The sequence below is a fragment of the Homo sapiens genome, chromosome 5, assembly GCF_000001405.40.
Source record: "Homo sapiens chromosome 5, GRCh38.p14 Primary Assembly".
In the NCBI taxonomy this organism is placed as follows: domain Eukaryota; kingdom Metazoa; phylum Chordata; class Mammalia; order Primates; family Hominidae; genus Homo; species Homo sapiens.
The window spans coordinates 169,079,193-169,092,539 of record NC_000005.10 but is presented as its reverse complement, the minus strand read 5'-3'; the positions used below and the strand labels follow the sequence as shown (position 1 = coordinate 169,092,539).

Here is a 13,347-nt window from a genome sequence, read left to right as displayed (position 1 = left end):
GCAACAGGGAAACTGAGGACCTGACCATTTTGGCTTCTGGAGTGGAGGGTAGACTACAACTCCCACTGAGACTTCGGTAGCAAGAAATAAAAATGGAATGGGATGGAATACAATGGAATGGAATAGAACAGAACAGAATAGAATTGGTACATCTCCGCTATGGTCCATATGTCCTTTCCCAGAAACACTGCCACTCCTCATGGCCATTTACTCACCATCCTTGGTCCCTAGCAATGGCCACAGCTCCTCTCCTTCACTCTGTGGGTCAATATGAATCTGATTTGACCAACCCTGCCTACCTCTGAGTCTTTTTTTTGAAACAGAGTTTCACTCTTGTCACCCAGACTGGAGTGCAATGGCACGATCTCGGCTCACTGCAACCTCCACCTCTCGGGTTTAAACGATTCTCCTGCCTCAGCCTCCGAAGTAGGTGGGATTATAGCTGCCTGCCACCACGCCTGGCTAATTTGTGTATTTTTTAGTAGAGATGGGGTGTCACCATGTTGGCCAGGCTGGTCTCGAACTTCCAACCTCAGGTGATCCGCCTGCCTCGGCCTCCCAAAGTGCTGGGATTACAGGCACGAGCCACCGCACCCACTCTGAGTCATTTTTTCTGGGCCTCTCAGTGATTTCTGGTACATGTTACCATCCCAGGCTGTCAACCTTGGGCAATGTGATTTCCAGAAGGACCTTGGCCCAGCCCATGCCATCTGTGAGCAGACTAAATATGTTCAGAGCACTGGGTGATAACTGATTATCAGGCCGGTCCAGCTTCGCCACGAGGCTTTGCACACGTCTGCTTGCACTGTGGGGAGGAGAGCCAGGCAAGGAGCAGCCAGAGGAAACCACGAGCCCCATCAAGCCTGCCCTCCTTGTCATTTCCCTATGGTCTCCCTTGAAACTAATCTCATTCCTCTTGACGACTGCACAGTGAGGCTGCTTGCTTCAGTGATTGTCAAGGTAGCTTATCCTTTCGTTAATTAACTACTCAGAAAAATGCTGTACAACAGTGTGCTGTTTAGCTTCCAGCTTGTTAACATGGGGGACTCCAGAGGAACTTTGACCTGGCCCATGGCCATGAGTTGCATGAGTCAAGAGAAAAGCAGGATGGAAGAGGTGTCTTTTTCTCCATGGCTCCCCCTTATTGTCAGGAATTACAGGTTGAATGGGTGGGAAGAATGGGACCAACCATGCCGTTGGAAACACTGCATTTTCTGCCACCTAAAGCAAGAATGCATCCCTTACAGGGTCTTGGGAGGTAAGGGCTGGCTTATAGGGTAGGAAGATATGCCGTGTAGAGTCTGCCTAGATGACTAGAAATATTAGAATGTGTTAACTTCTTCATTTGGGCAATATGAAGAAATAAGAGATCAAAGTTAAGATGTGACTTAAAACCTAAAGTCAAGTTAATATTTATTTGTCATCCATTATATACCCGTCACAATGTTGAGAACTAGGGCGCTCTCTCTCCAAGATCTAATTCTGCCCTCAAGGAGGTCAGCCTGGTAGGACAGATAAGACAATGCAATAAGCTGCTTCAGCATGAAAGGACAATGGGCACGGGACAGAAGCCAGGGATGCTGTTTTGGGAATACGATGGAGGAGCACAATACACAGACTTGTAGCTTAAGATAACAGTCACGTATTCTTTCGCAGTTCTGGAGGCCAGACTTCTGAAATCAAGATGTGAACAGGGCTGTCTTTCCTCTGGAGGCTCTAGCAGAGAATTTGTTCCCCGTCTCCTCCAGCTTCTAGCAGCTGCCAGCATTCCTTGGCTTGTGGTGGCATCACCTCCATCCGGCCTCTGTCTTGTCTTCACATTGCCTTTTCTTCTGTGTGTCTGTCTATGAAGCCCATCCAGAAAACCCAGCTTCAGTCTCTCTTTTCAAGATCCTTAACACGTCTTAGTCACATCTTTTGTCATATAAGGTAATATTCAGAGGGTTGAGGGATTAAGAAGTGAACATTTTTGGGAGGCCATCATTCAGCCTACGAAGGCCCCTATTCCAGCCTGAGGTGGGGTGGGAAAGGCTTCCTGGAGGACAAGGCCTGCCGATCCTGGCCCTGTTTGCCTCAAACCCATTCTTCTTCCTTCACCTGCTCTGCTCTGTGACTCCGTGGGGTTGTTGATCTCTGCAGGCTGCAGTTCCCAGGCTTGCATGTCAGCTGGCTTCCATCTGGGCCCTGACAAGGAGAGTCATTCATGAGAGACTGGTGGTGGAGGCACTGGGAGGGAGAAGCAGAGTATCATTATTATTACTATTATTTCTCCTCCTTCTCTGCTCTCTTTTCCTCCCTCCTCCCCTTCACCCTCTTCTTTGGTTTGACAGCCTCTCTGGAAATGGCTGTGTCACCTTGGTATTTTCATCTCCTGCCAGACAGGCCCCTGGGCTCTGTAACATCACCCGTTCCCTTTATCCCTCTAGCGTACAGGTGGGAACAGCTCCCTGCTGTTGCTTATCTATGGGATGTCTCAGCATTCTGGGTTGGGCTCTCAGTTCTCTTGTCACCTGCATACACAATTCACCTGCATTAAATTCTTTCTGTAGGAAATACCTGAAGTGGTTTTGATTCTCTTGGTAGGACTCTGAATGATACCAAGTCCAAGCTGAGATTCAAGGATGTAGCCTAGGGTAGGAAGGATCATCGTGCCATGAGTTATAGTGGTCAGCCACACACACAGCCCCTACCTCTGGAACCCTAGGCCAAGTGGAAAATACACTAAGCAACTTATCACTCAAGTTAATCTATGGTTACAAACACTGGCAAGTGTGTGAAGGGGAAATGCAATAGTTGTAGAGAAGTACAGTGATGGGACTTCCAGTCCAGGATGGAGGGTCCTTAGGGCTCCCTGAGGAGGAGAAGTTTGCTGAGATCTGACAGGTACAGAGCTCTCCAGGGTCTGAAAGGTCAGTGTGACTGGTGAACCCACAGCCAGAGTGAAGGATTCACCACTAGGGGCACAGAGTGTAGGCAGAGAGTGCACGGGATTTGGGTTTGGGAAAAGGAGTCAAATGGTATTGTTTGCTTGGAGCAGAAGGGAATGTATTCTAGGCTAATAGCTACCTAAGACAGGCCTTAGCTTGTCCACAGGAGAACAGGGACAGACAGCACCCCTGCTAACCCTGCCTTGGAGTTTGAGCAGCCGGTTTTCTTTTCAAGAAATGAAGTAGCACGTGGTGAAGTAGAAGCCATGCAAGAGAACCTCAGGCTTTAGACACTCTCAGGAAGAGGTTTCTAGAAGTTTCCAGCACAAAGAGACCTGTCACTCTCCACCTCCCAAAGAGGTCCTTACACACAGTGGTGGATGACAAGCATGAAGGATGAAGCAGGTTCTGCCTCTGGTTGGGAAGGGGTCCTACATTTCTTTATTAGCACTTGTGTGCAGATAGCGGTACAGGGCTGCTGCATCAGAATCCTAGGCACATCGGTATGAAACACAGATTCCCTGGCCCTACCACTGGAGAATCAGAGTCAGCACTTCTTTTTTTTTTTTTTTTTTTTTTTTTTTTTTTTTTTTGAGATGGAGTCTTGCTCTGTCTCCCAGGCTGGAGTTCAGTGGCATGATCTTGGCTCACTGCAACCTCTGCCTCCCAGGTACGAGCGATTCTCCTGCCTCAGCCTCCCAGGCAAATGGGACTACAGGCATGCGCCACCATGCCTGGCTCATTTTTGTATTTCTAGTAGAGACAGGGTTTTGCCATGTTGGCCAGGCTGGTCTTGAACTCCTGGCCTCAGGTGATCTGCCCACCTCAGCCTTCCAGAGTGCTGGGATTACAGGCATGAGCCACCGTGCCCAGCCACAGTCAGCTCTTCTCAAGAAGGGCCTGGAATCGGTATTCCTCAAAGCTCCTTGGAGATTTGGATACCCAGCCAGGTGCAGCAGCCAGTGCTCAATCTGATTCTCGGAAAGACCCTTGCCCCAGCTCATGGTTTTGGTGTAATTATCAGTCTCTCCATACTGCATTCCTCTGACCAGTCTTGCTCACTCCTGGACTAGTTGTAAATCCCTGGCTCAGAAATGCCGTTGCTATGGAAAGGGTTTTATGCTGTGATTCTCTTTGGGTTTGCTATTCTTATGCCAATTGTTTTTGTTGTCATTGTTATTGTCGCTGTTGTTGTGGCAAAAAAAAAAAAAAAAATCGAAGAAAAAGAACTTTGACAGGGGAGTAGGAGGCAGTACGGATCTCAGCATTTTGCAAACTCCTGGATGATGGACCCTTTGTAATACGTGCTGTGTCTTCTGAAACACCGTGAACCACCTGGCTAAGATGAGACCAACTTAGGAGGGAGGACAGGCTTATTTATGAACACAAGCCATACGGCCAGCCGACACACTGCAGGAGATAGAGTTGCTCAGTCCCTTCCTTCTTGAAAGCAACTGTCCTTTGTTTCCTACTTTAGAGAATCTGGAGAGTAATTGGCCAAGAAAACAGCGGTAGGGAATGGCTACCATGCAGAGAATTGTAAGATGTTGGCAGCTAGGGGCACCTCTGCCCTCCTGCCTATTTCTCGAAGTAAGGAAAGTCCTGGCCTATAGGTGGCCCAGAGAAAAAGGGTGGTAGGAGGATAAAGAGAACGGAGGAAAGTAGGGGGATGCCAAGTTAGAACTCAATATGTTGGTCTACAGAGCAATTTGTTTTCCTTTCACTAACACTTATTTTTGATTATCAAAGGCATACATTCCTCCCTGTGAAAATTATAAAAAATACAGAAAGTATAAAGAAAGGAAAAAATCACTTAGGATGTCATCAGTCACTACTGGCATTTTGGCCTATTTCCTTTTAATTTTTGATATGCAATGTTTTTTCTTTATTGGTTGTAACTGTACTACAAAAACCTTTGCTGGTTTTCTGGGTTTTCATTTAACAAAAAACATACTGAGATCATTGTGCCATATTATTAAAAGCTTTTTGAGAATATTTAGATGATCATATAATATTCCACTGGGTGGCTGCAGCATGCCTTAGCTAACTATTCCCCTCATGTTAGGCACATAGGTTGTTCCTAATTGTACACTGAAATAAAAGCTCCCCAAATGTGCAGAGGCCAGGGGTGCATTCTTAGTCCTGACCTCACTTTTCTCTTGAAGCAACAGGAGAAAGCACTGCCTCACATCCCTACAAAGTGAGCCCAGCTCCAGAAATCAACAGCAGACAATAGAGATTTGCCTACAAATGCCCTGGGCCTACCTGGGAGATGGCAGCATTACCAACCTCACAGCAAAATATAGTTGAAAATCTCCACTAGACACTTCTGTCCTCTACCCCTCTCACCACCTTCTGGACTCTGTTTTCTCCTCCCCTGCCACAGCCACCCCCTGCAGGATGCCTCCCTAGCAGTTAGTGCTTTGCAGAATATCCGGGGGAAGAAGCTAAGTTGTTTTGTTGTTTTGTTTTGCTTTGCTTTGTTGTGAAACACAAAATAGCATGCCGGGAGGGTGCAAGATGTCAAGCTGCTAAATATTTACTCAGTTGCTGTATTGCTGACTCTTATTGCTGGCTAGTAAGTAGTTGCAAGATAGACTCTAGTTTTTGGACGGCACTTTGCATAGCACTAATCTTCAGCCCTTTCCTTTTATGCTCAGCAGTTTCTCACTTCTTAGCTTCTCCAAACTTGCATTCTCACACCATCATCCTGCCCAACAAAGACTTCTCCTTTGGATGTCCCCCTGTTAGAAGGCAGTCAAGGCCAAGTTAATTATACCAGTAGTGCTGAAATGAACATTTGGGCCTAAACCTTTGTCCACATTTCTGCTTAGGATAGATTTCCCGGAGATGAATTAAGGGTCAAAGGTCAAGGGCATTCTTAAGACTCTTGACCCACGTTACCAAACTGCTTTCAGAAAGTTTGCACAAATTTTCATAATCACCAGCAGGAGTTAAGAGGTCCAGCTTGACTGAATCCATGCTAATACTGACATCAGTTTGATTTTCAAAATTTCATCTTTGCTGTAGTGAAGTCAAGGAAAAAAATACTATCTCTGAATGGTTCTAATGTGCATTTCTTTTATTTTTAGTCAAGCCGTATATAGTTCATGTGTACTTTTTACAAATGAATTTTCAGGCCGAACTGTTCAACCACCAATTAGAAACAGATAAAGGAATCTCATTGGTGTTATATTTCCAGAACACATGCATTAACTAGTTAGATACCTGTGGGCTGGGAGTCTGGCCAACACTTGTCAAAAGCTTTAAAGAGAAATCATTCTGAGATCCAAACAATGGATTCACCAACACACTTTCAGAACTTACAATAGTGGTTGCCAGTTCCTGGGTTCTGATCCTTGCTGCTTGCCATCTTGCAAGTCATTTATATTTTGTTCATATGTAAAATGGGGTGGTTAGCCTATGTAACCCTCTACGCTCTTAAAAAACAAAAAGAGGTATTTGTGCCCCTTGGCCTTGACTGTTCTCACAGGGGCCACGAGAGCTTCTGAAGGACACGTTGGGGCTGTGAGGAAAGGCCGTTGGCTTTAGGGGAGGGTTGCCATTTCTGCTGAGGAGGCTAGCTGTAGGGAAAATGAGGGCCTCTGAAAAGTGATTTGGGGAGCCCTCATGGAGTAAAGGGTGCTGCTGACTCTTGCCGCTGCAGGCTGGTGCTCTGTGGCTGAGTCAGATGGAGGTCAAAGACACCAACGTTGGACCAGCTTTGAAAGGTGGCAAGATGGGGCTGCCTAGCAACACCCATGTCATTTCTGCCTGTGGTTTGCACGAGATCCACCCAGCTGTGAATATCACAGAAGGAATTTTCACGAACTCATGGACCTTTCATTACTCCAGAAATGAGAGCGATGACAGAGCGTAGGCATTGCATGTCTCTGGCTGGTCCCTTTAAGACGACGATTTGTCTTGCTGAGCTGGGGCAGGCTGTGTTGGGTTTGGGTATTGACACCAAACAGTTCTGATTCACAGCGGTAACCTCCTTCTTATTTCCATTTCATTAATTTTCATCAAGGCTTAAACAGCCATGCATGTGGCCTGGATTTGGGGAATTGGGGTGGATCTGGACAATTAAAAGTCCCTTAAGTTTTGCAGTTTATCTCTGAGTAGAGCAAGACCAAAGAAAAAACCCCTCCCACGCCCCTTTGCTGCTGTGTTAGTTGAAGCGATTTCAGTGGGATTAATTGACTGCTGGAATGATTTGCATTTTATTGCCCAGGTCTGCTCACTGGGTCAGAAGATGTCATAAAAGCAGAAACCCCAGGTTGCTGACAGCCTCAGAGACAACAGGCTGCTCCACAAAGAAATTGGACCAGCCGTTCTCATTCTTTATAACTCAGCAGTGTAATAAGCCACATGTGTTTCCAGCCGACCTGCTCTGGCTCTGAGAGTCAGATTTTGTGTTTTTCCAGGAGCCCAGGAAGCAAGTAAACCCCAGTAGAAGTTGGAGGGCTGAATTTAAGAAAGAAAGAAACCTGGAGTCTATAGAGAATTGGATGTGGTTGGTAACCCAGTAGGAATTTTCTCCAAGGTGTGGGTAGAAATCTCCTCCACGTGTTGCTGCTGTTAAACTTGTAAAACGTTTATAGCTGTAGGTTGTTGTTGTTGATAGCAGGGATTAGACACTCCTGCTGGGAGACACGGGTAACATGAATGGGTGAGGTTGGTCAGGTGGTGAGTGGAGGGAACTGGGCTCCCCTGGCCCATGGGAGCCTTTGTGTGGATTAGGAAAAGGGGCCCCTTCCTCCCAGTGGAAGCCAACTTGGCCCAGCTTTGATTTGCGCCCCTCTGGGCCCCCTCAGCAGGTACAACCTATCCAACAGCATGCAATGGCCCTGGCCCCTGAAAGAGGGGAACTCTGCTCTGCTCAGGACCAAGTTTGTCACCCAGGGGTATGGACCCAGTGTTGCTGCAGCTTCTGGTTTTTGGTTTTGTTTTTCAAAAGAAACTGAACATTTGATTTCATGTGTGTAAAATATCCCAATTTTGAGGCTGGGCACGGTGGCACACGCCTGTAATCCCAGCACTTTGGGAGGCCGAGGCAGATGGATCACCTGAGGTCAGGAGTTTCCAACCAGCCTAACATGGTGAAACCCCGTCTCTACTAAATACCAGAAACAAAAAAAAAAAAAAAAAAAAAAAATCTGGGCATGGTGGCGCATGCCTGTAATCCAAGCTACTTGGGAGGTTGAGACAGGAGAATCACTTGTACCTGGGAGTCAGAGGTTGCAGTGAGCTGAGATCACGATCGCGCCATTGCATCCCAGACTGGGCAACAAGAGCGAAACTGTCTCAAAAAAAAAAAAAAGAAAAGAAAAAGAAACATCCCTATTTCCCTATTTTGGAATGTAAGCCATGGCTTCAATCTTTTTTTTCTCTTAAATACTGTTGGAGTCAACCAACAGAGGTGTGTGTGAGGGAGCCTAGGCTAGAAGGCTGCAGACTCTGGTACTGTATTGTCTAGGAGTCTCTAATATCCCGCTCTCGGCCAAACTGAAACAAGAGTTGAGGATTCCAGAAATCTTTTGATTCTTACACTCAAACAAGCACACTTTTGGAAAAGAACAAATGCTAAGCATGATCCTGGTCACTGGTAAGGTGGAGACTGCCCTCCAAGCGAAGGGAGTAACAGGCAGAGAAAGTGAGGTACAGGGCTTGTGAGAGAGCAGGTTTACTAAGAAAGGCAAGCAGAGCTAACCACGAGGGACAATTTGCTCCAGGTGGGTATTCTAAGTAGGCCCTAGTGAGCGCTTCCTCTTTAATTGCCAGACAAACAGGAAGAGTTCCAGGTCACCCCCTGGGGTGCTGAGAATTGGGAAGAGGAAGGAGCAATCCTAGAGGGTGCTGGCATGCCAGCTCCTTGGTGGACAGCTGTGAGCCGTGCTGTGTGCTGCCCAGAGGCCTGTGATGGCTGACTGCAGCCCTGACCGTGTTTGGTCTTCCCCGCTGAGCCCAGATTGAGTGCATATAGATGGCTAATTAAACTCTGAACTGACAAACACACATGCTGGAGAGGCTCCCCTTTGAAGAGCAGGAGATCACAGGGACAATTTCCTGTTTGCCAATGTGCAACCTCAATCTCATCAGTTTGGGACTGTAAGTTTAAGGCGTGCTGATAGCCCTCAACACCATTCACCTGTTGCAAGAAGTGCTAAGCCTGGATTGGTGTTGATCTCTTCTGCCCCCACCCCCTAACGCCCCATTTCACTTTCAGGTGTGTGTGCTTTGAAGTGGGAGGAGAGATGTTAGACCAGTAAAGCTTTAAGGTCTCAGTTAACCTAGAGTCTTTTTGTATGACTCTCTTGAGGGAATAAGTAGATATCCTTCTGCCCATGTGTGTATATTCGCACATGTATCCAGATTTCCAAATGTATTTGACAGGTAAATGCAAATACCTGTCAGTGCAAATACAAATAGAGTCAACAATGAAATTAGTTTGGTTTGAGACCTTTGTGTGATCCATTCCGCTTCTGAGTGACCAGTTAGTTCCGAAACTGTGTTGAGTAATGATGTTTCTTCTCACCAGCAACTAAGACCAAATTCTTATTTTGAATAACATATGTTACATATGGTAGAGATTTAATAAAGATCAGTGTTTCAGATTCTGTGATCACTTTATTTGCTTTGGAGCTCTAAGAAAGATGCATAAGTTCAAATTGTGGATTTGCCCTGTATTGAACTGCTGAGAAGACATTTGTCAATGTGTGAGTGGTGTTATTGAGGCAGAGAAGGAGCAGAGATAAATTTAGCCGAAAGGGGTATGAAGTTGCATACAGTTGCTGATGTAAGGTACCAATCATGTAAGGTCGAAAGATAAACAATGGCTCTTACAAAAGAGAAGTATTAAACAACATCACATCTTCATCTACTATTTTTCTACTCTTCATGGTTGCCAGGATGTGCTGAACCAATTAAATGGCAAGTTGTGATAACTCTTAATCTTTTGGTTCTGATGCGGTCATTCCTACAATTCTACCACAGGATTCAGGTAGGTAGGTAGAGAAAGAGAGAGACACACACACACATAGAGACAGGTACTTTTCAAAATCCAGGCATTGGGGTGGGAAGAATAGGAATCAGAGAGTAAATAGACAAACATCCAACCCTTGAGGAGTTTACAATTTAGTTGGTGGAGGTGGCTTTGTGTGTTATTTTTTAAAGAAGCTATCTCATTACTCTTCTGAAAGTAAGTAAGGCATATTTTAAAAAATTACTCCAACATAATCGTAACTGGGCCTTTGGCCAGCAACTTAAACAGGAAACTCTGTAGGTTAAAAAACACAATCAAAGCATAATATATGAGCCGTGTGTCTTCAATGTCTGTGAGTTGCATTGGTGGGAAAATAGAAAAAGTTGAAGGCTTTAGACTTGGCATAGAAAGCAGGGGTTTGTTTGGCGTGGCTTCCACATGGCTTCTACTCGAGGATTGTATTGCTGGCATGTCTACGGCCTGTGGAGTCCCTGCTAAGGACACTTACTGCATGTCCCTACACCTCTCCGAGTTGTTTTCCTTATCTGCAGAATGTGCTAATAATAAGGATCTCAGAATTGTTTGTGTTAAATGGGATAACGAATAGGCACAATGTCGCTAAATGTTATGCTGTGGGGGGGTCTGGAGTCAGGCTGACCTGGTTTCAAATGCTGGCTCAGCAACAACCCAGCTGTGTGGGCCCGGGCAAATCACTTAGCCCCTCTGTGCTTTGGTCTTCTCAAATGAAGAACTGGGCTGCTAATACCGTCTCAGTGTTGCTGTGAAGAGTAAGTGAGACGGTGTATGTAAGAGCAAAGCACAGGGTCTGGCCTGGGATAAATTTTTTAAATACATTCGGGGGTTATTCCCTGCTTTGAATATAATTTGCTCTGTCCAACCTCCTACTGCCATTGTGAATTGCTGCCGGGACTCATGCCTTCCTCTAGCTGTCTGCTTAAGAGGACCATGTGCTGCTCAATGGAAGATCTTCTGGAGGCTTCTGGGACCTTCTCAGAGCAAGCCCTGCAGCCTAGCATCCCCTTCTCCTCGGGGGCCCTGAGGGAAGAAGACTCTAAAACATCCGGTTGCTCCAAAACATGCCATAAAAACCCCAGGAGGAAAGGGCCCCATTAGCACCTGCACATTTGGGGACCCTTGTCAGCAAAATGGCCAGGAGTTTCCTGCTGAAACCCCAGGGCATGGCAGGTTTACGGAGACCCTTCATTAAGATGAATTATGAACCTGTGGGTCTCTCTGGTTCCATTTGGCCCAGGCTGGGAGGCAGAGGCCCAGCTGCCCCGCTGGCTGCACTGCATGAAACCTCCTTCCTCTCCTCTTCCCAGGCTCCTTCCCACCCTGCTGTGTACCCCCTACCCTTGTTTAATGAAAGAGAAAAGCACTGCACCCCTCCAGGGGGCCCCAGAGCGGGAGGCAGAGTTCAACCTGAGAAAATTGTTTTCTTGTAAGTGGCAGGCACCTGGTGGGCCAGGCCTGACCCAGGCCTTTCGTGATTGTGCAGAGTTGGCTCCTGTCCTTCCCTGTTCCCCCAGGCCATAAACAAGTCCTGGAGCTGGAGCGGGGAGCCCTGGGGAAGGGGGGCGGGGGCAGCCACAGTGCTCTCTGTGCATTTGTTCCTATCTCATGTGACAGCTCAGGGGTTATCCTGTTGGCTTCTCCAGGGTACCTGGTTTTTTACATTTTTTTTTCTTTTTTCTTTAAAACCATGAAATATGATCAATGGTTGTTCAGAGAAGCCAAGCACAAATGCTCTCCAGAGCAGTGGTTCTTAGGGTCAACATGCTTTTAAATTGCCTGGGTATCCAGGCATAGCAGGAAAAGCACTACAGTGCAGAAAGGCAGCCAGCTGAGGACGTAACTGCAGCATGCAGGATAGAAGTTAAACAGTCAGTCAGGTCAGCCCCGGCCACAGAGTTGGCTGTATGGTAGAGTGGCTGATGGTTTGGGGAAGAGGCCAGGTTTGCAAAAAAAACAGCTTCCTCAGAGGTGTTAAGGAGGAGACCCATATTTACTAGGCATCTACCACGTGCTTTATAGCTCTCACCTCGGAGGCCCTAGAACACAGCTGGTGCCGGCAGGCTCTGGAACCAGACTCCCTGGGATCAAATCCCCTGCTCACAGGATGTGGGCAAGTCAAATCATGTCTCCCAGCCGCAGACTCCTTGCCTTGGCCGTGGAGGAGATCATAGTACCCACCTCCCCAGATTACCTTACTGTGGGTTAAATGAGATCTATGCAAAAGTCCCTAGCACAGTGCTTGGCACATAAAGGCTCAATACCTGCTAAATGCTATTATTTTTATTATCACCGACAAACACGCTCTCCTTAGCCAAACTTGAGTCAGGCTCCTCTGAGGCCTCTTTTTGACTAGGCCCTGACTTTGGGCCCTGACTTTGGCCTAGTTAGTCCAGTTTTAGCAAGAAGCCTGTTGAGTGGGTCTGGCTAGTATCCCCCTAGCCTTGATGTTTCCTCCTAGTAATTTTCCTTCCACCAGACTCCTACCTGCTCCTTAGCTATACATGTCCACTTGTCCTTATATTGGAGTTGAGCCCATCTCTCTCCCCTATGCAAACCCCCGTTGCAGTAGCCCCCCTTAAATAAAGTCTTTCTTACCAATTTTAACAAGTGTCGTGCATAATCTCCTCCTCTTCTTCCTTCTCCCTCTTCTCTCTCTTCCCTTTGCCATTCCTCTTCCTCCTCTTCTTCTTCACTCTTCCCTTTGCTCTTCCTCCTCCTCCACCTTTCCTCCTCCCTCCCTCCTCCTCCTCCCTCCCTCCTCCTCCTCCCTCCTCCTCTTCCCCTTCCCTCTTCCTCCCTCCTCCTCCTCTTCCCCTTCCCTCTTCTTCCCTCTTCCTCCTCTTCTCTCCTCCTCTTCCCTCCTCCTCCTCCTCTTCCCTCCTCCTCCTCTTCCCTCCTCCTCCTCTTCCCTCCTCCTCCTCTTCCCTCCTCCTCCTCTTCCCTCCTCCTCCTCTTCCCTCCTCCTCTTCTCTCCTCCTTCCTCCTCCTCCTCCCTCCTCCTCCTCCCCTTCTCTCCTCCTCCTTCCTCCTCCTCCTTCTTCCTCCTTCTTCCTCCTCCTCCTTCCTCCTCCCTCTCCTCCTTCCTCCTCCTCCCTCCCCCCCTCCTCCCCCACCCTTTCTCCATCTTCCACCTCAAAGTTTGGGATCCCATCCCTGACCCTGGTCTCTTAGCCTGGACAGTGGGAGTTTTCGTTTCAGCTGATGAACTTGACATTTTCTCTGCCTGGAGACCAAGGATGAGAAGGAGAACTTCTTTGTTTAGCTAGAACTATAAGATCTGAAAACAAAAGAGAGCTGAAAGCAGGCAGGTGTGGAACAACAGCCTCATCCCTTTGATTCTGTGGGTTACACACCACCTGGACAAACCCTGGCCTGAAAACTTGGGGCTCCTTAAAGCAT

At 47.2% G+C, this 13,347-nt stretch overlaps 1 protein-coding gene and 1 long non-coding RNA gene across 6 annotated transcripts in view; one reads left to right on the top strand and one right to left on the bottom strand.

Annotated features, from left to right (window-relative positions):
• The window catches only part of SLIT3 (slit guidance ligand 3), a 639,400-nt gene that overhangs the window by 208,600 nt on the left and 417,453 nt on the right, over positions 1 to 13,347 (top strand). The window lies entirely within an intron of this gene.
• Positions 1,389 to 12,656, bottom strand: LOC105377712 (uncharacterized). 3 transcript variants are annotated; one of them, XR_007059040.1, is made up of 5 exons: positions 12,544 to 12,644; positions 10,571 to 10,691; positions 2,557 to 2,628; positions 2,098 to 2,226; positions 1,389 to 1,844 (listed from the first exon to the last, which is right to left on the bottom strand). It is a non-coding gene; the product is annotated as an uncharacterized LOC105377712 (long non-coding RNA). The 3 variants fall into 3 exon arrangements; XR_941191.3 differs by having other exon boundaries at positions 1,389 to 2,184; positions 12,544 to 12,656; XR_007059041.1 differs by lacking the exon at positions 2,557 to 2,628 and having other exon boundaries at positions 2,098 to 2,184.